At 40.9% G+C, this 25,618-nt stretch overlaps 1 protein-coding gene across 29 annotated transcripts in view; it reads right to left on the reverse strand.

Annotated features, from left to right (window-relative positions):
• COL4A4 (collagen type IV alpha 4 chain) overlaps positions 1-25,618 on the reverse strand; it is a 197,129-nt gene that overhangs the window by 53,285 nt on the left and 118,226 nt on the right. For 28 of the 29 annotated variants that reach the window (XR_922837.3, XR_001738602.2, XR_007069255.1 and 25 more), the window contains 9 exons: positions 22,433-22,540; positions 21,504-21,611; positions 12,766-12,837; positions 11,504-11,632; positions 11,301-11,411; positions 9,799-9,954; positions 7,258-7,365; positions 5,158-5,166; positions 1,404-1,529 (listed from right to left, as the gene is read on the reverse strand). Coding sequence is in view for 26 of the 29 variants with exons in the window: in XM_011510565.3 (XP_011508867.1) it covers positions 1,404-1,529; positions 5,158-5,166; positions 7,258-7,365; positions 9,799-9,954; positions 11,301-11,411; positions 11,504-11,632; positions 12,766-12,837; positions 21,504-21,611; positions 22,433-22,540 (927 nt within the window). In the remaining 3 variants the exon portion in view is untranslated. The remainder of the gene's footprint in view (positions 1-1,403; positions 1,530-5,157; positions 5,167-7,257; positions 7,366-9,798; positions 9,955-11,300; positions 11,412-11,503; positions 11,633-12,765; positions 12,838-21,503; positions 21,612-22,432; positions 22,541-25,618) is intronic. The other variant, XM_017003297.2, reaches the window with a different exon arrangement.

Genomic DNA, 25,618 nt, shown 5'->3' on the forward strand with positions numbered 1-25,618 from the left:
AAAGTCCAAATCATAGTGGGGCAGTGAGGGGGGGTGAAAGGAGAGAGAACATCCTGGTTCCTCCTTTTCAAAGAATTTGCCCATGAGTTTTCTAGACTCATAGCTACTATCAATGGATCTAAAGAGAACAGTGACTTCTAGATGCCCAGCCCTGGGCTCCCTAATATCTTTGTAAATTACCCAATGCAGTGGGGATATGTGGAAAGAAAACAAACCATTCGGAGAACACTTTTTTCTTTTTTTTTTTTTTTTGAGATGGAGTTTCGCTCTTGTTGCCCAGACTGGAGTGCAGCTCACTGCAACCTCTGCCTCCACCGTTCAAGCGATTCTCCTGTCTCAGCCTCCCAGGTGGCTGGGATTACAGGTGCCCGCCACCAAGCCCTGCTAATTTTTGTACTTTTAGTAAGAGACAAGGTCTCACCATGTTGGCCAGGTTGGTCTCAAACTCCTGACCTCAGGTGATCCACCCACCTCGGCCTCCCACAGTGCTGGGATTACAGGCGTGAGCCACTGCGCCTGGCTGGAGAACACTTTTTAAATGGAGAACACTTTTTAAAAGAATGGTTTCGCTTAAATACTTGAATAAGGATCCTGCCACCCCGGCAGTTACTGAACAATGCTCCAGTGATTAACCATGTAGTAACTGCCAAAACGTACAGCAAGACCCTATTTTTCCCCATCCCTCCTCTAACAGCTCCTACTTCCTTCTTGCAGGCTCTGTTTCCGCTCCACCAAGCCCCAATTCAATTGTTTTTAACTCAAAATCAAGTAGGCAGCTATTAATGACTGTTCATGGAGCATCTACCATGTTGTGCTAAGAGGTTTGAAAACTCTACATCCAAAAGCTGGCCAAGAATGAAAGATTTAAGTAGGAGTTCCACATAAAAATAGAAAGGATGGGCCAGGTGCAGTGGCTCATGCCTGTAATCCCAGCACTTTGGGAGGCTGAGGCAGGCGGATCACGAGGTCAGGAGATGGAGACCATCCTGGCTAACTCGGTGAAACCCCATCTCCACTAAAAATACAAAAAATTAGCTGAGCGTGGTGGTGGGCGCCTGTAGTCCCAGCTACTCGGGAGGCTGAGGCAGGAGAATGGCGTGAACCTGGGAGGCGGAGCTTGCAGTGAGCCAAGATGGTGCCACTGCACTCCAGCCTGGGCAACAGAGCAAGACTCCATCTCAAAAATAAAATAAAATAAAATAAAATAATAGAAGGGATGTGTGGATCCAGTTAGCCCATGATTGATGTACTTTGGATCAAGGTAGAAACAAATTGCAAAGGGAAAGACATGCTTTCTCCTCAGTAGTTTAGGCTCCATATAAAAAGCTACAAAATAAAAGATCTAGAATTTCATTTCAGCAATATATCATGAAAATAATGAACAATCAGCATGCGGCTCATACCTGGTCCTGAGGGGCCTCTCATTCCAGGGAGCCCCATGGCTCCTTCTGGTCCTCTCATGCCTGGCGCCCCAGGAAGGCCTGGGATTCGGGGACAGTCATCCACATCTGCAGGTGGCCCCGGTTCACCTGAAATTGGAATCACCGCTTGTGTAATGGATGCACGTGCTTATGAACAAGCTCCTTCTACAGTCTCTGGTTAAAGTTGGACTTCTGACACTATACTGAAATTTAGTACAAATTCAGTATAAAATTCAGTATAAATGTTTGTAAAGATTCAACAATCCAATGTAAGTTCCATGAAGGCAGAAATTTGTCTTATGCCCTGGAGGGTACATGAAAAAATTCCAGAATGTCGGGCTGACCGAATGAGTGAATGGAGTATCAGAGGATGCAGAAGTATGAAACAGTGAAGGTCGGATGATGCAGCAACGTGATGACCCTCACAGGATTGCCCAATCTCTGGGCCATTTTTTACTGGAGTAGCAGCCACAGGTAGCATTGCAAGAGGGACTGGTGGGTTCCTAAAGCTCAGCTTCATGTGTCCCTGAGTCCTTACTCTACACTGCAGCCACGTGGGTTTCCATAGTGTCAGTCACTAACATAGAATTTCAGGATTGCTAGAGGCTCAGAAGCAGTGACTTTCAACCTTGAGTGAACATTGGACTTATCCAGGGGAGTCATGGAAATATACTGATGCCTGGGTCCCACTCCCAGAAATACTGATTTACTTGATAATAGGATGTGGCCTGAGCAGTGTCCTCATCATTGGCTGCATAATAAACTCAGCTGGTGAGCTTTTCAAAAGTACTCATGAATACTGGGGCCCCATCTAGACTAATTAAATAGGAATTTCTGGGGGTGGGACCCGGGTGTCAGTAGTTTTTGGTTTGTTTGTTTGTTTAACTCCCACGATGATTCCAGTGTCCATTAGGGCTGAAAGCACAGTTGGAAAGCTATAATTCTGACTGTAGCACATCAGAATTGTGTCGCTAGTTTGTTAGAAACCAGAGTTCCTGAGTCAGAAGGTCTGAAGAGGGGGCCATGTACATCTCTAACATGTTCCCAGGGAGGCTGATGGCGTTGATCTGGGAATCTCACTTTGAAAAACACAGGCTGGGCACGGTGGCTCACACCTGTAATCCCAGCACTTTGGGAAGCCGAGGCGGGTGGATCACTTGAGATCAGGAGTTTGAGACCAGCCTGGCCAACATGGTGAAACCCCATCTCTACTTAAAAAAAAAAAAAAATAGCTGGGTGTAGTGGCAAGTGCCTGTAGTTCCAGCTACTCAGGAGGCTGAGGCAGGAGAATCCCTGGAACCCAGGAGACAGAGGTTGCATGAGCTGAGATCGTGCCACTGCACTCCAGCCTGGGTGACAGAGCAAGATTCCATCTCAAAAAAAAAAAAAAGAAAAAAGAAAACCACTATACTAAAGATGTGAGATTTTTTTCTTTTACTTTCACATCATTAAGACATCTTTTCTAAAGCTTCATTCAGTCATCCTGCAAACATCACAGAGGGATAAGAAATAATAACACTGAACAATAATGACAACAGCTAAGGCTCACTGAATGCTTTATCATGTATCAGGCCCTGTGCTGAATGCTTTTACTATTAAATCCTCCCGAGAAGACTGTGTATGTGCTACTGTTATGAGAAGGGTATGAACAAGAACACTCAGGCTTCGCCAGGCGCGGTGGCTCATGCCTGTAATTCCAGCACTTTGGGAGGCCAAGATGGACAGATCACGAGGTCAAGAGATTGAGACCATCCTAGCCAACATGGTGAAACCCTGTCTCTACTAAAAATACAAAAATTAGCCGGGTGTGGTGGTGCACAGTCCCAGCTACTCAGGAGGCTGAGGGAGGAGAATCGCTTGAACCCGGGAGGCGGAGATTGCAGTGAGCCAAGATCACACCATTAAACTCCAGCCTGGTGACAGAGCAAGACTCTGTCTCAAAAAAAAAAAACAAAAAACAAACAAAAAAAACCACTCAGGCTCAGGCAAATAAGTGACACTTCTGTGGTGACACAGCTTACACACAGCAGAGTCTGGATTGCAATCCAGGGCATTCTGGCTCCAAACCCATGTTCTTAACCACCTCATCAGACTGCATCAGGAACTCTCAATATCTGGGTAACAAATTCTAAGAAATGAAACATATTTTAAAAGGTATCATCTGGCCGGGCATGGTGTTTCACGCCTGTAATCCCAGCACTTTGGGAGGCCGAGGCGGGTGGACTGCCTGAGTTTGGGAGTTCAAGACCAGCCTGGGCAACAGGGCGAAGCCCCATCTCTACTAAAATTACAAGAAATTAGCCAGGTGTGGTGGCACATGCCTGTAATCCCAGCTACCTGGGAGGCTGAGGTAGGAAAACTGCTTGAACCTGGGAGTGCAGTGGTGGAATCGCCAGCCTGGGCAGCAGAGCAAGACTCTGTCTCCAAAAAAATTAAATAAAAATAAAAGATATCATCTGATTAGCTATGGTGTTCTTCAAATGTATGCAAAAGTGTGAAATAATTTCAGGAACATCAATCATAAAGCACTAAGAAAATCCTTAACAAAATGTGGCATAACAACAAAGTTTTAGTCTCCTAATACTTACTGGGCCTGTGTAAAATGACCTGGAATTCTTATGAGCTATTTGGAATTTAACTCTGTGTAAAATATGGTATAAAACCACAAGCCACACAGGGCCAAATGTATTTTTATAATAAGTACAGTTTAATGTAAAACTTGGCTTTTCTACTATGGGTGACTTGAGAGAGATGCATAGAGGCATCTTCTATTTTCCATGAGTAATGTCTGGCCCTTCCCAGTGGGAACGGAGTTCAGAAAGTGGGAGCATGTGTTTGGTGCTTCCTATTTAGAATTTTGATGCTCTCTTGAAATGACTTTATACATACAATCACAGAGAGACAGGATTGAAATGAAAACATCAAATACAGTTTAATTTTTAAATATAAACATTGAAAATACCAGGACTTTTTACATTTTTGATTTTGCTTTTCTTTACTTTTTAATAAGTCAGAAACTGAAAAATAAAAAGGGGGAGCTGAGGCCTGTCTTCTAAAGACCTTAAAAATAATACATGGTGTCTATATTCACAGCAATTTTCATTAGGACTAATAACAGAGGCCTGGAAAGAACAAATGCAGGCATTCACAATTTTTCTTTTTCTCTTCTGAGAAATGCTTTTGATTTTCTTTGAAAATGCCAGGCACAAAATAACACATTGTTTTTGCACTGCAGAGCATTAAGTGAACATTTTCCTTTTAACACACAAAGAAATGTGCTCCTTGAAAATGGACTTGAGGGTGTGATAGGAAAGGCTTGTCACAGCCCCTTACTGGGAGGTGAGGCCCCATTTTTTAATGTTGTATATACCATTTATTTTAGGGATGCTCTAGGTATTTATATTGTAGAATTTAAAAAAGGAACTTACATTGGTTATGTACTATATAGCCTTTGACAGAGAAAGCCCACATACTTCATGCCCAAATTGAAACTATATAAGCAAAGGCTCTACACTGCCTTGACAACCTATAATGAGGCTGAATGTTAGGATGCTCTAATATGAGGTTACTATATCTGTAACGAGGAAGCAAAACACTGCAGCTTAATATCCTTACAGCACCCCATCTATAAAAATGTAACAAAGTTTAGCTCACACATACAGAGGAAAAAGGACAAGTACAGAAATGACTAGAAACCAGAGTGAGGGGAAATTACCAATTTTATAGCAAAGCTTACCTCTGGGACCTAGAGGGATCCAAAGACAACAAACGAGGCCAGTCCATGATTTTCACAGGGTGGAAAGAGATTTTAAATTTGTGGATTAGGACAAAAATGAAATAGATTAAGAACATACATAATAATTTGAGGCAGCATCAATGACAAGCAGAATGGCAGCACCTTATTTACATAAAATGTCCACATCAATGTGACTGACAGGAGCAGCTATGATTTAGTAACGGAGTTTTCATCTCTAGAATGACTTGAAACTCTCTTGAGCAATATAAAATTCTAGTTGATTTCTTCTGGCAAATATCCTCTAATTTAATGCATGTAGGAATTCTATCCATTTAAAAGCTTCTGAAAATTTCATATTAATTTGCCAAGTATAGGGTATGCATAGAAAGGAAATATGAAAAGAAACAACATATAGGCCAGGCTCAGTGGCTCACACCTGTAATCCCAGCACTTTGGGAGGCCAAGGCGGGTGGATCACGAGGTCAGGAGATCGAGACCATCCTGGCTAACACGGTGAAACCCCGTCTCTACTAAAAATACAAAAAAATTAGCTGCGTGAGGTGGCGGGCGCCTGTAGTCCCAGCTACTCCGGAGGCTGAGGCAGGAGAACGGGCGTGAACCCGGGAGGTGGAGCTTGCAGTGAGCCGAGATCGCACCACTGCACTCCAGCCTGGGTGACAAAGCGAGACTCCGTCTCAAAAAAAAAAAAAAAAAGAATCAACATATAAGCCCTTGTTCCTCCTGTCCTATGATACATCATAAAGCAGTGCTATTTATTTATTCTTTGGACTAGAGTGCTAATTTAGGATACTGCGAAATATTCTGAACTGACGCCACATTACCGTAATATTGATTTAGGATCTTGAAAGATATTACTTCTGCCCATCTCAAATACACATGTCTGTTTGCCCCTTCTCTCCCCAACTCTTCCTTGTCGTAATTTGACCCTATGGTTAAAAAGTGTTGCCTATAGAGTTAAACTGAATAGCTTTCTCCCTTCCTAGGAACGAATGGAATTTACAGAAAAAAAATTAAATAAAACATCTAGGAAAATCAATGAAAATTCAGGGATCGGAATTGAATATACGATCCTAACAAATAATAATCAAATCAGTCTTTGCCTCTTGCATGAAGGAACACATATTTATTTCCCTTAGAAACAGTCTATGTGGGCCAAGCACAGTGGCTCATGCCTGTAATCCCAGCACTTTGGGAGGCTGAGGTGGGCTGATCACCTGAGGTCAGGAGTTTGAGACCAGCCTTGCCAACATGGTGAAACTCTGTCTCTATTAAAATACAAAAATTAGCTAGGCGCAGTGGCACACGCCTATAATCCTAGATACTTGAGTTTGAGTCAGGTGGATCACTTGAACCCAGGAGGCGGAGGCTGCAGTGAGCTGAGATCACACCACTGCACTCCAGCCTGGATGACAGAGCAAGACTGTCTCAAAAAAAAAAAAAATAGAAAAAAAAATGTGTATATAAAATGAACTCCTTTTTTTTTTTTGAGTTCATGTCCTTTGTAGGGACATGGATGAAGCTGGAAACCATCATTCTCAGCAAACTATCACAAGGACAAAAAACCAAACACCGCATGTTCTCACTCATAGGTGGGAACTGAACAATGAGAACACTTGGACACAAGAAGGGGAACATCACACACTGGGGCCTGTTGTGGAGTGGGAGGAGGGGGGAGGGGGGAGGGATAGCATTAGGAGATATACCTAATGTAAATGACGAGTTAATGGGTGCAGCACACCAACATGGCACATGTATACATATGTAACAAACCTGCACGTTGTGCACATGTACACTAGAACTTAAAGTATAATAAAAAATATATATATATAGAAAAAAATTAAAAAATAAAGTAAAAAAAAATCAACTCCTAATTTTCAAACTTTTTCATTTTGACAATAAATTATTACTTTACCAAACATGAGACTTTGTAGTGCGGCCTGAAAGAAATATACTCTTAATATAAGAAAAGGGCTTAAATAATAAGAATGTGCTAGTAATTCAGAATATTAACTACTTTCTGAACGATGATCATTTTAGTAAATGTTTAAACAAAATGCTGTATGTAGGTTGGAAGCTCACCCGGAAGACCAGTGGGCCCTTTTCTCCCTGGAGGTCCAGGTAAACCCTTCTCTCCAGGTGGCCCAGGAAATCCATGTGGTCCCTGCGGTCCCGGGAATCCCACTGGTCCTTAAAAAAAAACAAAACATAAAAATGAGGGCACTGGAATGAGACAAGATAAAAACAATGACAGTTTGATAGACTGAATTCAGAGATTCACTCCAACAAAATGCAGGGCATAGCTAGCCTGAGAGTCAAGATTAGCCTCGCCTTCTTCTGTGAGGCTTAGACGGGTTGCCTCTGAAGGAAACACATGATCGGCCGAAAGAACTAAGGAAATGGCTCCATGATCAAGACAAGACCAAATTACAATGAAAAGAAGTCCTATAACCCTAAACTTCCTCTGGAGACAAAGGACTGGAACTGAAGGAAAAATCAGGAAAGAGCTTTCAATATCCGGGAACAACGTGCCTCCCCAGGCGAGTTCAACCACTCTCCTCCTCACTCTCTTAGTTTTAGGCACAACAGTTCAGTTCCTCATACGTGATGTTCCTTTACTTCTTCCACATCCATGATGTCTTCCTCATTTTTTAGAGATAAGACCCAGTTTCATTTTCTCAGGGAAGCCTTCCCTGGAATCCCAACTGAAGTTTAGTTGCTTTTTGATAAGCTCTTCATTCAGGACACTTAACTGGATTTAAACTGACATATCCTTTCATGTGCATGTCTGTCTTCCATGAAACTATGCTCTTTATAAAAGAAATTTATTATTATTATTATTATTATTATTATTATTATTATTATTTGCTCCATTACCCAGGCTGGAGTGTAGTGGCACAATCATTGCTCACTGCAGCCTCCAACTCTTGGGTTCCAGCGATCCTCTCACCTCAGCCTCCCGAGTAGCTGGGACTACAGGCACACACCACCATGCCCAGATAATTTTTTAATTTTTTTGTAGAGATGGGGGTCTCACTGTGTTGCCCAGGCTGGTCTTGAACTATACTGGCCTCCAGGGATCCTCACGCCTTGGCCTCCCAAAGTGTTGGGATTATAGGCATGAACCACTGAGTCAAGCGGAAACTCTGTCCTTATGAGATTAGAAACTCTACTTAAATTTGTTCACTGCTATATTCCTGCAGGTGCCTAAGAGATATTTGTCACTGTGTAAGTCATAAAAGGTAACTGAGGAAACTCACTCTCTTTATAGTGAAGCACTGTTTGGCCTTTATATTCTCTGGACTGGGAGTCAAGAAGCATGATTAGCGGTTCCACCAATATTTCTAACTCCCTGTGTATCCTTATGTAGATCACTGGTATTCATATGGTGTTTTATTTCCTCAGTCCTGAACTTCATGTCCAGGTAGAGATTTATTCCCTAGAGTAACTAAGGAGGAGGAGTGTTAGCCAGCCCCTTCCTCCTTCCTCTTGGTGACTAGAGTGTTAGCACGTCAGTCCAATTCTGAAGTTCAATCATTGGAAGCCTACTTACCCATAGATTTGAGCCACATTCTCTAAAATTGATTTCATTGCTAATACAGATGAACAGGCTTGCTCCATACTGTTCTACAGGCTGTGCACTGCACAATTCCACAGATGCCATTTGCACTATAGTCATGGCGGCCTCACAGTGATTTTTATCTGTGACCTAATCTTTTGCCTTATTTCACACTTGGTTCAGAACTCAGGCAAGGTGCTCGTTACTGGGCTCTTTTTGCAAATTTCAACTGTTGCTTTTCTGATATCCAGCTTCCTTATTTATGAAATAGGGAAGTTAAAATGGATACTCATTAGTCATCTTTTTTCAACAAAAAGCTTCTTTGAACCTAAAAATTCTCTGAAATTCTGGTGACCAAAAACTGATCTCCCCAAATATTAGCAGTTGGATAAAAATTGATTAAAATAAATATTTTAACCTCAAATACTGGGGAAATTCAGTGATTCGGGATCTTTGCAGGAATATAAAAAAGCAAAGTCAGCAGTCTAAAACTAAGCTGTCCAATACAGAAGCTACTAACCATACATGGCTAGTTAGCACTTGAAATGTGGCCAGTCCAACCTGAGCTGTGCTGTCAGTGTGGAACACACAAGGGATTTCAAAAGCAGGAAGAAGGAGTGGCTTATTTGCAAAAGGAATTAGGTTTGCACAATCAGCTCAATTATCTCATTGATAAATGTATATTAACTATATGTTAAAATAAAAATATTTAAATATATTATGTTAAATCACATAAAGTATGAAAGTTCACTTGTTTTTACTTGCTAAAATGTGTCTACTATATTTTTAAATTGCACATGTGGCTTGCATTACATTTCTACTGTTCAATTCTGGCCTGGAAGATTATCAAGAGTATTATTAGGGGCTAAAGATGAACTTGTGTTTCTTCCTTTTACTTGTCCAACTTTGACCCAAACTTCAGGACTCTTTGGGGAAATAAGGACATTTTGGAAGGTAGTCACTTTGTTTGCATAGGAAATAGAAATGGCGGCACAGTACCCCAGACCCTCAAGGGTAAGATAACCAAGTTATTCACATATTACTTAACGGAACAACATTCATACCTTTCTGGCCATCTTTTCCATCACATCCTGGAAAGCCTTTGTATCCTGGAGGGCCTGGTGGGCCAGGGGGACCTGGTGGCCCTGGTAGACCACAGTCACCTGGCTCCCCTCTCAGAAGGTCAACACTCCCAGGGAGGCCTGGAGGCCCAGGTGCTCCTGACCACAGAGAAGAGACAAAAATATTCTTTTAGTCAAAGACGAATGTGTATACTGGCTGCTTGACAGCTTCCGAAGAAAAACAATTCAATGACTTGCAAGCAAGGAATAAAGAGAATTAGAAGAATAAGAAAGTCAATGATAACAGAAATGAAATAGAATGAATCATAATACCAAGTTGAGAAATGGTGTAGATAATGGGTTGGTAACTGTTAGACAAAATGAACCCAAGCAAAACCTTCCTTCCCTTCAAAGTCATTCCTGTTGAAAATATCATTTTGGGTTTTTGTTTGCATTGCCATCTTACTGCTTTAATAAGATGGATGGATGGATGGATGGATGGATGGATGGATGGATGGATGGATGGATAGGTGGATAGACGGTTGGATGGATAGATAAGATGGATGGATGGATGGATATGTGGATAGATGGTTGGATGGACAGATGGATGGATGGATGGATGGATGGATGGATAGACTGATGGACAGATAGACAGGCATTTGAGGAAATATGTCTGGTGGGAAAGGAATGTTCACTCGATTAAATTTATAATCCTAATGGAAAACAAGTTCCCACAAATAGGAATAAATTGACCCCAATTATATTCCTACTTAGCTTCTGTACTTCTTAGCGCACTTTTGAGAGCTTTATTATTTTCAGTGTATGATCCCTAAAATCCTAAAGATTCAAAGATGATGGGCATGTGTCTTTATGGAAGAGTTCTAAGAGCTTGTATGAATGCAATTGCCTGCATTTAGCAAGATATCACACGGAGCCACACTCTTCTCCCAACTCCCAACCCAGCTCTAGCCTAAACCTACTTGGTCAGCTTAGTAATGACTTCCAACATCTTTCCTTACCAAAGTTTGTCCCTGTGAAGTGATGAAAGAAACAACATGTACTGTCAGCAGCACATGAAGAGACTGTTTCTTGTGTGCCACAAGCCTGCATCCTGTCACTCTGGGCTAGTGCCAGTGGTTTATGTGACAGTTGCTAGAGACCAACAAGGAGGGTGCGATTCCCACTTGCCACCCACTTCTGAAGACATTTGGTCAGCATCAAGCTGGTGATAAGAAACGCTTGCTTATCAGTTTCTAGCCTGAAGAGACGAGGGTCTAACAGAGCTGAAATTGAAGAGAGGGCCAAGTCCTGGTCCTGGATATGGTCCTGAGAGCCCACCACTACCCAAAGTCCCACCCTAACTGTGTCCCACTTATCGACCTGCCAAGCTGATGGGGGGCTGCTTCAGTGCTTCTATTCTGCCACTCTCTGGTCCCACATTCCTCCAGAGCTGGCAGCATCTAACAAAGGGAGCACTGCCATCCTTTGTCATGATTCTCTCATACCTCTTGGGCCATCAGGACCAGGAGGTCCCTGATCTCCAGGTGGACCCGGGTCAGGAATGTCCTTAGGAGCTCTTCCTGTGGCACCTGCAGGACCAGGTGGTCCTGAACTCCCTAAGAAGAGACATGTTCACATGTTATCCTCATTGCATTTGGAAGGTTTTGGTTTAGTTATTGAAAGAAGGGCAAAGCATGCTACAGCTTACCTGGGGGTCCTGGGGGACCTTTCTTTCCACGAGGACCTGGAGGAGAGATTCCTGGGCTCCCAGGGTCTCCTCTCTCCCCTTTTAGCCCAGGTATTCCCACTGGACCAGGTGGCCCCACATCATGCAAACCTTAATGGGGAAAACAGAATTAATACTATATCTTCTCTTTTCTTGTCCCTGTTATAGTGCCTGAAAAGGAACCACTTCCCAATAGCGGCAGAGGAGTGGCTGGTTCTGCAGACACCAACAACTGGTTGCAGTGGTGATCCAAATGTCTGCACCATTTCTCTCTTAGGACCTATCACACTGGTCAGCCATAAGTTTTATTTCTTTTATAGTTATTTTCCAGATTTTAAAAAACAACAACTTAGAGGCAATACCAACCTCCCACCTCTACAATGGAGAGAGTAAAAACAAATGAGATACAATAAGTAATTATGCATAAGTTGCTTTGAAATTTGAGGTGGAAACTGGCATGATTAGAACTATTGTGGAATTTCACACTGGGAAGGAAGGACATCAGTGTTTTCTTGGAAGGCACACACATTTAATCTATTTGGAGGATCTACTAAATGAATCTTAAGTGACTATATTACTGGATCTTCCAAACTAGAAAGATTTCACCTCTCTCCAACAATAAATTCAAACCTAGCAGCACAATTCCTCTTCCCCAGGGTCACTCAAATTTGCATGTTAGGTTTCAGCTACTTTGTCTGATCATAAGCGGTTTTTCTGAGAAAGTAACGCAACAAATGTGCATTATACTAACAGAACAAGATACACTTGTCAAAGATTAACCTGTTTGCGGTATGAAAATAACAGCAAATTGTGTAGGTAATTTGTTTTAGCAGTGGCCATAAAAGGATGCTATTAGTACTAATTTGACCCATGTGGTCAAACATAGCATTACTATACTTAATACAAAAATTCTAAAATCCCCAGCTATTTACTTGTTAGGATAACATTTTGAAATCTGGCTCAATTGTTCAGAGTACTTTTAGTGGACAGAAAATTCCAAGCAATACCAACAAAAGACACTGTTAACCAACCATTCCTTCTTAAATAGGGTTTTCTCAAATGTCCTTTTCATATGTCATTTTCAGCACTAAAAATAGCTCCAATAGTGTGTCTCTAACCTAAGCCAGTTTTTTTCAGTTTTGCCTCCAAATCTCATGAAGTGCAGAAATACCAGGGAGGGTACCACTTTCTCTCATGAACCATGGACTGAAGCTCAGTCTGTTACGAATCGATTAGGTGCTTACCTGAAGCACCTTTAGTTCCTTTCTGACCTTTCAATCCATGCAAGCCGTTCAGGCCAGGTGATCCGGAGGGACCTGAAAAACACCACAGGCCTGTGACCCAAAGGAAGACCAGCCACCGGTACTCACTCTAGCCACAAACGCAGGCACTGCCCAGCAGAGGGCGCGTTGCTGGGGCCAGCAAACAGCTCTGAGCGTCTGGACTTCATCATCAGGGTGGAAACCCAGGCCCAGGACTATTTAACACATTCATCCGGTAAAGATTTTCTGCCAAGACAGCTTAACACAAACATTTCTTTGGTTTTAAAGTACTGCTGTTGGTTTCTGATCCTATCGTGACCAGATATGGTCTAGAATTACTGAATCTTGGCATAGGAAGTGACCTTTGATTTTATGACAATAAAATCACCCTACATGAGGAAAGAGATCGGATGGGAGCAAATCCAGGCCTCACACCTCCCAGGCTTGGGGTCACTGCACCCTCCTAGGGGCTGCAGGCTCCTGGTTTCTTCAGGATCTACTCATGGAGATGCAGTCAGACGAGAGGACGCATGGCGCCTGTGGCATGCTGGCAAATGCTTGCCCTGCGATGCTCAGGCCTGCATGGCGAGTGTGGCTCCAGCTATTGCTTTGCAGTCACTTCTTTCACAACCATTCTGATGCCTTTCTGCAGAACCTAAGTTTATTTTGCGATGATCACTGAAAACTCCCGTCTGTGTAAACAGACATTACCCCACTGATGCCTGTGCCTTCTCTCAGAACCTTCTGTTTAGTTCTCCAAAGAGCCGTCCACCAGCCTGGCTTGACTGAAGTTGTCACTAAACACTTCCAGTGGAAAATTTTTTTTAAGGTTTTTTATCAACGTATGTTGAGTTGTGTTGAAGTTGTCTGAACGAGAGCCTTTTCAAATGACACTTCTTGATGGCCCTTGGTAAAGTTGGAGGAGGAGAGGCAAGGAAGAAAGCAGGTAAGGAATATTTATCGAGCATCTCCAGGGCACTGAGCCATCTGCTGGGTGCCTTCTCACAAGTCCTGTCCCACTGATGGCTACGAGCACTGAAGCTTCTTCCCAGCCTCTGGTCAAGCCTGGAAAACTTCCTATCTCATCAGTAGATCTTCCACCCAGTAGCTGTTCTTTTTTTTTTTTAATTAATTAATTAATTAATTTATTTATTATACTTTAAGTTTTAGGGTACATGTGCACAATGTGCAGGTTAGTTACATATGTATACATGTGCCATGCTGGTGTGCTGCACCCACTAACTCGTCATCTAGCATTAGGTATATCTCCCAATGCTATCCCTCCTCCCTCCCCCCACCCCACAACAGTCCCCAGAGTGTGATGTTCCCCTTCCTGTGTCCATGTGTTCTCATTGTTCAATTCCCACCTATGAGTGAGAATATGTGGTGTTTGGTTTTTTGTTCTTGCGATAGTTTACTGAGAATGATGATTTCCAATTTCATCCATGTCCCTACAAAGGACATGAACTCATCATTTTTTATGGCTGCATAGTATTCCATGGTGTATAGAGCCTCTCGGTGCACAGCCAGCCTGTTTACTTAGTGTAGGGTCACATCTCTCAAATTTGGGATAAAAATACCATCAGCTTATAAGGTTGAACACAGAAGGTGCCCCTCACCTACCCCCATGATATAGGACCCCCTTGATTGTTGATGTCCACCCCACACTGTGAAACAATCATGTCTTTGGGTGACTGTCTCCCCTGCTCAAGGGTAAATAGGAGTTCAAGACTAGGTCCTATGGATGTGTTCAATAAATGTTTGTTGAGTGACTGAATGAAAAAATATGGAACAAGGTGGATGAGGGAGAAAGCTACAAAAAGGAGCAGGGTAGAATTTTTATTTGTATGCCATATCTTTCTTTAATAGATTTATAGGACAAATATAATTTACAGAAGTTAGAGGTATCAGTTTGCATATAAATAATTCAAGTGCTAATTATTGTCTATTCATTTTAAGCAAGTCCTCTGTGTATTCTTATTAGAAGCTGGCACAGTTAGTTGCTTCCATTCTATTTATCATCAGTACTTGAAACAGACAGTCATTATTCTTTTAAGATCTAGGATTTAGATTGGTTCAAATGAGCCATATTCTCGTGCACCAAAAAAAAAAAAAAAATGGGAATGCATCTTTATTTTCCCCAAATCTCTTATTCCTAACCACTTTTTACAGTTCTGGCTTAGTTTATTCTCCAATCCTCTTTCCTATTTTATGAGCCAACGTTTCAAGTTTGCACCAAAAGAACACACAGACCTTCTTTATCTGCCAAATCTGGGTATTTATTGCAATCTATCTGAAATGATAAATTTTCGGGGGGACCACTTCACTATTTCCACATGTTTTGATCTCCAGCTTTAGTCACCAAGATTGATGGCTTGGGGACTTGGCTGGGGTGGAATGTCTCTGCTTCTGCCAGCTCTCCATTGTCACATCAACACATCCAGATCCTAGGTTGTCACGGTCCCAGCCTCTCGCCATTGTTGAACTGGCCGACCCTTATCTGACCCAATGTTATCGTTCTAAATTGAATGCAGCTACATCTGAGTAGGGTTGTAAGGGTAATTTTTCCTTTTTACTGAAAGCTTTTTATCAATCCCATCTCTAAATCAGAAAGTTGTTCATGCATAAAATATATACAGTGCAGATGAGAGGCAATTAGGCTAACAAAGCACATTTCTGGGTAATGAGGAATTTTTATTCACCTCTCTGGTCATCCTCCTGCTAAACAACCATCATTTAAGGCTGCAGCACACTGCACTTTCAGGCTGGGTGCTCTTTCTCTAGTCAGTGAATGTAACCTCCAATCCAGCTGGAATTGTGGCTCCCATCTTTGTTAGCCAGCGAACTCTTTATGACTGCATTCCCACTCTCAGGCTGTATTTTGTTCTAAAGCCTGAAAACATTACTCGACACACCCAAGAGCTTTTATATGGGCTCATACTTTTAACACATAGGGTGACCAACGTGTCCCTGTTTGCCTGCGACTTCTTCCTGGTTTTAGCACTGAAATTTCTACATCCTGAAATACCCACTCAGGCCCAGGCAAAACGGGACAGCTGCTCACCCTAACTTCAAAGCTGATGGGAAGAGAGATCTTTGTGACTATAAGTAATGGTTGAAAAACCTGGAAGATTCTTATTAACAAAGATTCTGAAATAAGATTTAAATATTTTTTGTATCAGCAAATATGTGAGTGCCCACTAAGGGTGTAAGATATGGTTTCCTAATGCACAGAGTCTGCCCCAAATGTACCTCCTGGCAGGTGCTGTCAAGACGATGCGGGACAAGTCTGTCCCTGACTTGACAGAACAAACAGGCAATTACATCCAGTGTGGTAAGTGCTGTGGGGGAAGGGCAGGAGGAGAGTAATCTAGTAAAAAAAGCGGGGGGAGAATATTTCCATGATGTTCATAGCTCTAAGGGACATGGCATCTCTTTTCTGAGGAAAGCCATTTCCAGATTCTTTTTTCTTATGAAACATTTTACTTGCTACCAGTAAATATGGATACAAAATCCATATTCTTTCCAGTTCTTGTCATGCTACAGGTAATATTCTTTAGGTTTTCATTATTTCAATCTTATATTACTTTCCAACTAGGAACTGGGTGTTCTCCTTTTAAAGGGCATTTGTACTTAAAGTCTAGGAATCAAGCCATTTTATGATGATGATGATGACACTTTAAGTTCTGGGATACATGTACAGAATGTGCAGGTTTTTTACATAGGTATACATGTGCCATGGTGGTTTGCTGCACCCATCAACCCGACATCTGTATTAGGTATTTCTCCTAATGCTATCCCTCCCCTAGCCTCTCACCCACTGACAGGCCCCAGTGTGTGATATTCCTCTCCCTATGTCCATGTGTTCTCATTGTTTAGCTCCCACTTATGAGTGAGAACATGTGGTGTTTGGTTTTCTGTTCCTGTGTTAGTTTGCTGAGAATGATGGTTTTCAGCTTCATCCATGTCCCTGCAAAGGACATGCACTCATCCTTTTTTTATGGCTGCATAGTATTCCATGGTGTACATGTGCCACATTTTCTTTATCCAGTCTATCATTGATGGGCATTTGGGTTGGTTCCAAGTCTTTGCTATTGTGAATAGTGCTGCAATAAACATACATTTGCATAGGTCTTTATAGCAGAATGATTTACAATCATTTGGGTATAAACCCAGTAATGGGATCACTGGGTCAAATGGAATTTCTGGTTCTAGATCCTTGAGGAATCGCCACACTGTCTTCCACAACAGTTGAACTAATTTACACTCCCACCAACAGTGTAAAAGCATTCCTATTTCTCCACATCCTCTCCAGCAACTGTTGTTTCCTGACTTTTTAATGATCTCCATTCTAACTGGCAATGAGATGGTATCTCATTGTGGTTTTGATTTGCATTTCTCTAATGACCACTGATGATGAGCTTTTATTTTCATATGTTTGTTGGCCGCATAAATGTCTTTTTGAGAAGTGTCTGTTTATATCCTTCGCCCACTTTTTGATGGGGTTGTTTCTTTCTTGTAAATTTGTTTGAATTCCTTGTAGATTGTCAGATGGATAGATTGCAAAAATTTTCTCCCATTCTGTAGGTTGCCTGTTCACTCTGATGATAGTTTCTTTGCTGTGCAGAAGCTCTTTAGTTTAATTAGATCCCATTTGTCAATTTTGCCTTTTGTTGCCACTGCTTTAGGTGTTTTAGGCATGAAGTCTTTGCCCATGCCTATGTCCTGAATGGTACTGTCTAGGTTTTCTTCTAGGGTTTTTACAGTTTTAGGTCTTATGTTTAAGTGTTTAATCCGTCTTGAGTTAATTTTTGTATAAGGTGTAAGGAAGGGGTCCGGTTTCAGTATTCTGAATATGGCTAGCCAGTTTTTCCAACACCATTTATTAAATAGGGAACCCTTTCCCCATTGCTTGTTTTTGTCAGGTTTGTGGAAGATCAGATGTTTGTAGATGTGTGGAGTTATTTCTGAGGTCTCTGTTTTGTTCCATTGGTCAAGATATCTGTTTTGGTACCAGTACCATGCTGTTATGGTTACTGTAGCCTTGTACTATAGTTTGAAATCAGGTAGCCTGATGCCTCTGGCTTTATTCTTTTTGTTTAGGATTGTCTTGGCTATACAGGCTCTTTTTTGGTTCCATTTGAAATTTAAAGTAGTTTTTTGTAATTATGTGAAGAAAGTCAATGGTAGCTGGAATCAAGCCATTTTTAGCATATGTTTAAGTTAAAGTTTAAATCTGATTGAACACAAGCAGGATGCAAAATCCATATGGCCTGTTCTAGCAGAGCAAACAGCTTTGAGTTCAGCAGCTGGTTTGTTCAAACAAGATAATCAGTCCCCTTGACTTAGTTAGAACATACTGCAAATATTTAGTTTCTCAGTTCAAAGTGTTTCTGCTGGAGTGTGGTTCATTTTTATATCAGCATGATAAGCTGCAACAATGAATTTATACTGCAGATGTTTTAACTTTTCAGAATGTATTTCACTGTTTTGTTTTGTGTTGTGGTTTTTAAAGACCAGTTGTTCTCTGAGCTGTTTGAAGTGAAACAGTGTCACTATATGGTGATGGAGCACCACTGCAACATCTGTCTGTAGGTGGTATGAACATGCCAAGTAATATGTTCATTTCCTCACCTTCTCTTTTTAACACACTATTTCATAGCACGGAATTATGATGTGATTGGAGATTAATTTTGGGGTGATTTTGTTATGGATCAAATTTATTAGCTATTAGTTTTGTTTTGTTTTGTTTTGCTTGAGACAGAGTCTTGCTCTGTCACCCAGGCTGGAGTTCAGTGGTGCAATCTCAGTTCACTGCAACCTCCACCTCCTGGGTTCTAGCAATTCTTCTGCCTCAGCTTCCCAAGTAGCTGGGACTACAGGCACCCGCCATCACGCTCACCTAATTTTTGTATTTTTTTAGTACAGATGGGGTTTCGCTATATGTTGGCCAGGCTGGTCTCGAACTCCTGACCTCAGCTGATCCGCCTGCCTCAGCCTCCCACAGTGCTGTGATTACAGGCATTAGCCACCACGTCGGCCAGCTATTAGTTTTGTAATAGCATGCCATACTGAAGTTATGTGATAAATGCAAACAAATTCAAGGGAAAGAAAGATCAACAACAGTGGCATGAGCCCTGCCATTTTGACCAAATTGGGTGTATGTTTTTAAGCCACCAAGACACTTAAAAATCCTTGCTGTGTTACTAAACTGGGAGGGTAGGAAGAAGTGGAGGGTAGGAAAAAGTGGGAGTGGTTAATGATGACAAATGTTTTCTTTTGGTTCTTTACCAACTGTCTTCCGGACACAAAAAAGTGTCAAAGAATACGCCATGAAGGCTGTAGAGATGGTCAGAGACAGGAAATGGCCACAATCACCACAGAAACTTTCAAAATAACAGAATGATCATTTGCCTGAAATCCTAAATTTATCATGAATTGCTGGAATTCATATTACTAAAAGTGTCAATGAAGACGGAGAACAGTACAAAGATGTCTTGTGAAGGGAACTTTTCCTATCAAGTTATGTGATTGTGTGAAAATACATGAGTATACCAACTCTTCAACATAAATGGCTCCTGTCTCCACAGACTTGCACCAAGTAATACCTACCACACTACCACTTCTGGAAAATTAGAATTATTTCAAAGCTATCCAATGAGTGAAGAGGGCAAAGTGTGGGAAAATCGTATTTGAATTTTCAAAACAGTAAAAGGATTAATCCCAGAAGAAGGGGTTTCCAACTCAGTACCTTCTGAAAGGAGGGACTTTTTATTTTACCAGGATTTCGTATACGTATGAGTCAATGAGCAAAGGCAGGTGGAAGGAGAAAGGAAGAAGAAATAGAGGAAACCTGGTTACAAGACTCTACCAAGTAAGCTGGAACCATCAGCTGTTGGTTCAGATAAGGACTGCAACCTCATATCTACTAGCTCAGATATTCATTCTCCTATTTGTCCATTCATTCATACCACCAACCAATATACTTGTTATTGACTGGGTCTCAAGGGTATATGAAATGTCCTTGCTTTTTAAAAAATCATACTCTGTTTGATGAGAAAAACCTCCAAACAAATGTGATACAACGTAAGTGTTATGCTAAAGATATGTTCAAAAATACCCATAGAAAAAATACTTTTTCTTTTTTTTTTTTTTTGAGATGGAGTCTTACTCTGTTGCCTAGGCTGGAGCGCAGTGGCACGATATTGGCTCACTGCAACCTCCACCTTCCAGGTTCAAGCAATTCTCCTGCCTCAGCCTCCAGAGTAGATGGGATTACAGGCATGCACCACCACAGAGCTAACTTTTATATTTTTAGTAGAGATGGCGTTTCACCATGTTGGCCAGGCTGGTCTCGAACTACTGACCTCAAGTGATCCGCCCACGTCAGCCTCCCAAAACTCTGGGATTACAGGTGTGAGCCACCCGGCCAAAAAAGTACTTTTTCTAAAGTGGAAGAAATGGACTGAAGAGGGGTTGATACCATGGATGAATGTGAGGGCATAAAGATTTATTAATGACAAGTATTTTATATTATATTGTATTGTATTATATTATATTATAACCAGACTTTTATAACCAGTCCACTATTGCCTTTACAGACCAAGAAATTCAACCCAGAAAAAATTATTCTTGATCGAAAAAAGATGATGAACACTAATTATTCTATATCTGTAGCACCTTATTGTTTTCTCTTCCACTTATCATGATCAGTAAATATATATTCATTTCCACATATATTATTAATGTCTTTCTCTCCTGCCATACTGTCAGCTCCATGAGGGCAGGAAGCAGGTCTATTTTCTTCAAAACTGTACACCCAGCATCTAGCACAGAATCTAGGATAGTAGGAGCTTAACCATAGGTGAAGGGAATACATGAATAATGGGCCTGAACATCATAAAAATCATTTGGCTAAATGCCTTCAGAAATAAGATGGTAGCAACCGGGCGCTCACATCCTAGCACTTCAGGAGGCCGAGGCGGGTGGATCATTTGAGGTCAGGAGTTTGAGACCAGCCTGGCCAACATGGTGAAACCCCGTCTCCACTAAAAAATACAAAAATTAGCCAGGCATGGTGATGTGCACCTGTAATCCCAGCTACTTAGGAGGCTGAGGCAGGAGAATTGCTTGAACCTGGGAGGTGGAGGTTGCAGTGAGCTGAGAACGCGTCACTGTACTCCAGCCTGGGTGACAGAGCAAGACACCATCAAAAAAAAAGAAAAAAGAAAAGGAAAGAAAAGGAAAAAAGAAAGAAAGACAGAGAGAGAGAGAGAGAAGGAAGGAAGGGAGGAGGAAGGAAGGAAGGAAGGAAGGAAGGAAGGAAGGAAGGAAGGAAGGAAGGAAGGAAGGAAGGAAGGGAAAGAAAGAAAGAAAGGAAGAAAGAAAGAAAGAAAGAAAGAAAGAAAGAAAGAAAGAAAGAGAAAGAAAGAAAGAAAGAAAGAAAGAAAGAAAGAAAGAAAGAAAGAAAGAAAGAAAGAAAGAAAGAAAGAAAGAAAATGGTAGCACTACCATTCTCCCTGGTAGAAGGCAGGTCAGCTGACTGGATGGGCACTACCTGCAGCCCTGGCTAAGGAAGAGTAGGAAGATGCTAATGGCACCTACGGAAAAGAGTGGTATAACCAAGAGCAGGGTCACTCACTGGTACAGGAAAAAAACACCATCAATTTGCCCTCATTGGGCTGCATCTTTCTTGTGGGATGGGCTTCATTTTGACTTACCTTTTATTCCCGGAGGACCTGGTATCCCTGGATCCCCCTGGAGGCCTCTTGGCCCAGGGTCTCCCATTTCTCCTGGCTGTCCCCTCAGCCCAGGCATCCCGTGATCACCTGAGGATGACAGGGAAGTTTTGCAGATGGCCAGATAATAAATGAATTACATTCACTGCAAAAGTCATCTATGTTCTTAATATATGGGTAACGGAGAACACTGTCTAATTACTTTTTCTTCCTATACATCTTAACTCTAGGGAGAAAAATACATTTAAATTCAGGAGGAGAAAATACATTTCCAAATAAATGAAGTTGCCAACTATAGTTTGAAACTTTCTCTTTTTTTCTGAATTGGCAGGAATAGTATCCATTAAAACACTGTGCTGTAAGTGTGACATCTGCCTTAGGTCTAAAGGAGGGGAAAACAAACAAACAAACAAACAAAACAGCATCCTGAATGGCAGGAGAAATGCAAAGGGCTAGAAAGGAGCTGCTATCTGGGCCAGACACAGTGGCTCATGCCTGTAATCCCGGCACTTTGGGAGGCTGAGACAGCCTCCCTGAGGTCGGGAGTTTGAGGCTACAGTGAGCTATGATTGTGCCACCACACTCCAGCCTTGTTAATAGAGTGAGGCCCTCTCTCTCTAAAAGAATAAAAACTAAAAAGAAAGGAGTTGCTATCTGTCTGACCATTCCTTTGTGTCTGGTGCCATGCTAGGCACTTTACAGGTGCTGTCTTAATCTACTCCAAGTCACTCAGTGAAACCCACTAGCTTATAGGTGAGGCATAGGTGAGCTTAAGTGACCTATCCAAAGTCACAGGTCTGGGAAATGGCAGAGCCATATCTGAATTTAGGTCTAATTAAAGACTGGTGGTTTCTGAAACACTCTGAGACACAAGAGTGCTCAGGAAGTCTCCAGATTTCCTTTCAAGGTACCTGGGCACCCTGGTGGTCCAGAGGAGCCAGGTGGCCCTGGCCTTCCAGGTGATCCTCTGGGCCCTTGAATACCAGGCAAGCCCTGCTCTCCGGATGCTCCAAAATGCCCTAAAGAAGGAAAGATCAAACATCAGAGTTGCCGTTTGAGACAGTGAATCTTTAAAATCACCAAGTTCAGCCCACCCTATTCTTTTCTATCCTTACTTTTTTAGTTTTAAATAGTTTCTATTGGAAAGGAAAATAACGTTAAGGAAAAACTGATAACAAAATGCCCATAATCCCACCAGCTTAACACAATTCTTCATATGTACATACATGTACAGATAATACCCACAATTTTATATTCTGGTTTTTAAAATTAGTGTTGTATCATAAGTAATTTTCCAAGTTTATATTGGTTTTCCTAATTATCATTTTTAAATGAATGGCCAGTAGCTTTTTGAGTCAATCTTAATTAAATTAACTAATTCAATTTATTTTACTATTGGCCATTTAAGTTATCTCTAACTCTGCCGTTATCCATAATGCTCTTTATATCTCTTGTCAATTTTGTTTCTCCTATTAAATTGTTTCCTTAGGAAAAATTCCTAGGAGTAGAATTTCTGGATAAATAGCATGATATTTTGGTATTTTCAAATGCATTTTAAATGCTGAAGTATTTTAAAGTACATCACACCGTAGTGTAATTCCATCCCTAAATACTTCAGGAGGTAAGAAGTCTGAAAAATAAGAACGTTTTTCTACATTGCCAAAATAACATTTCGCAGCCAAGAAAATTAATAGCAATTCTTAATACCCTCAAACACTCATCCCATACTTGAATCCCCCCAATTATCCCCTTAATGTCCTTCACAGTTGGTTTCTCCACACCACGTTCCATCCCAGAATCACCCATAACATCTAATGGATAGGTCTCTTCAATTTCTAAAAATTTAAAGCAGTCCTTTTCTTATGACAGTGACTTGCTGCAGAGCACAATTCAGTTCTTCTCTAGTTTTCTAGAACAGACCATTCAACATTTGGTTCTTGATACAGGTTGCCAGTAGTTTGGAGTAAGTGCTGCACTGACTCACACCACCATATGGAACCCACCCACAGCTCCAAGAGCATGCCGTGTTCTTACTGAGGACATTTTAGTTTTTTGGCCTCTTTTCTTGCTAATTTATTAAAGATAAAATGATATTTCAGACACTTGAAATTACATTTCTTTGATTACTAAAGAGGATGACTATTTCCCCGTGTGTTTATTTACAATGTATGAGTTTAATGCACGTTTATGGGATAAACCAATAGTGTGTGCTGAAAATCACTGGTTGAATCTGCACATAAAATATATGTCTCTGTATTTACAAACCATGCTGGGGGGGCTATAGTCATCATTTATTATAGCACACAGGAAACAAGCTTTTGTTAGTCTGTACCTGTTCCCTGATTGAATTTAACATCTATTAGTCTCACTATGTATTATCTTATTTATCCTGAAAACATTCCTACAGTAAAGTAGCATTATTCTCATCTACAAATGAAAACACTGAAATATTAAAAATAAAAACTTGTCTCCTGAATTTTGTGGGGTTGTGTTAAGAACAGAACTTCTGAGTTAATTTGCACTATATTTTCTCTCTGAATAGAGTGCAGAGTAGGTAGGACTGAACCCAGGATAATCACATATAATCCCAAGACCAGCTGCAGATTCATGCCTTCTCATGATGCTCATTCAAGTTCAATGAAGCCTTCTCCAGTCAATGGAAATAGTGTATTAAGTAAACTCTGTGCTAGTGAATAACATATAATACAATTTAAAATTTCTAAGCTGAGGCCATGGCATATGGGAAAGGGGCCAATTTAAATGGTGGTAACCACAGGAGAACAGGCAAATTTGGCCAAGGCAAACTTTCTGAAAAAGTCAGCCTAAGTGTAAAATCACTCAGGTTTATGATTTTTAAGTTAAAATACTAGGTAACATCACAGGCCCCCATTTTGGACTACCCTGAGCTTATGAAATCTTCCTATCTTTGGGGTTTACATAAAAATACCAGTAAGTATGGGAAAATGTCTTCATGTTTTGCTGACTGATGATGGTGATGATGACAATGATGATCATTGCATTTTATTTTGTATAGTTATTTTCAGTTTCAGTTTCTTTCATTTGATCCTCAGGACAATCCTGCAGTATGCATAGGGCCAGTTTACAGGTGAGGCAACTACGCTCAGAGAAGATACTCTCAGCTTACCCAAGACCACAGGTGAAGTAATAATGGAGGTTGACTTTGAGCCACCGATTTTTCCCTTCTGAGGCTTCTCACTTTGATATTTGTCATGAACTCCCATAATGCTGACCTCAAAACTATTTTCCCTATCAAATGTATACTTCAGTTATACAGTTCAGTTAAAATATTATACTATGTCTAGGCCGGGCACAGTGCCTCACACCTGTAATCCAAGCAGTTTGGGAAGCCAAGGCAGGCAGATCACTTGAGGCCAGGAGTTTGAGACCAGCCTAGCCAACATGACAAAACTCTGTCTCTACCAAAAATACAAAAATCAGCTGGTGTGGTGGTGCACACCTGTAGTCCCAGCTACTTGGGAGGCTAAGGTGGGAGAATTGCTTGAACCCAGAAGGTGGAGGTTGCAGTGAGCCAAGATTGTGCCACTCCACTCCAGCCTGGGTGAAACAGCAAGACTCCATCTCAAAAAAAAAAAATACATATATATATATATACACATATATATATATATACACATATATATATATACACACATATATATATACACATATATATATACACATATATATACATATATATGTATATATATTTAGATAGTATATATATGTATGTATATGTATATGTATATATGTATATATGTATATATGTATATATGTATATATTTATATGTGTATATGTATATATTTAGATATTTAGATATATTTAGATAGTATATATGTATATATGTATACATATATACATATATACTATCTAAACATATATACATATATATATTTAGATATATATGTACATATATATATATCTAAATATATTTGTTCATGTCAGAGGTGAAAGACCCATAGCAAAGAAGGTGGGAAAGGTAGTTTGTGCCACTGTATTAACTTGTTTTTGTTAGACTTCCATTTTAGCAATCTTACAGTATAAAAACAAAGAAAATAAAATTTCTCATATAGTTCTG

Source organism: Homo sapiens, chromosome 2 (assembly GCF_000001405.40).
Source record: "Homo sapiens chromosome 2, GRCh38.p14 Primary Assembly".
Taxonomy (NCBI): Eukaryota; Metazoa; Chordata; class Mammalia; order Primates; family Hominidae; genus Homo; species Homo sapiens.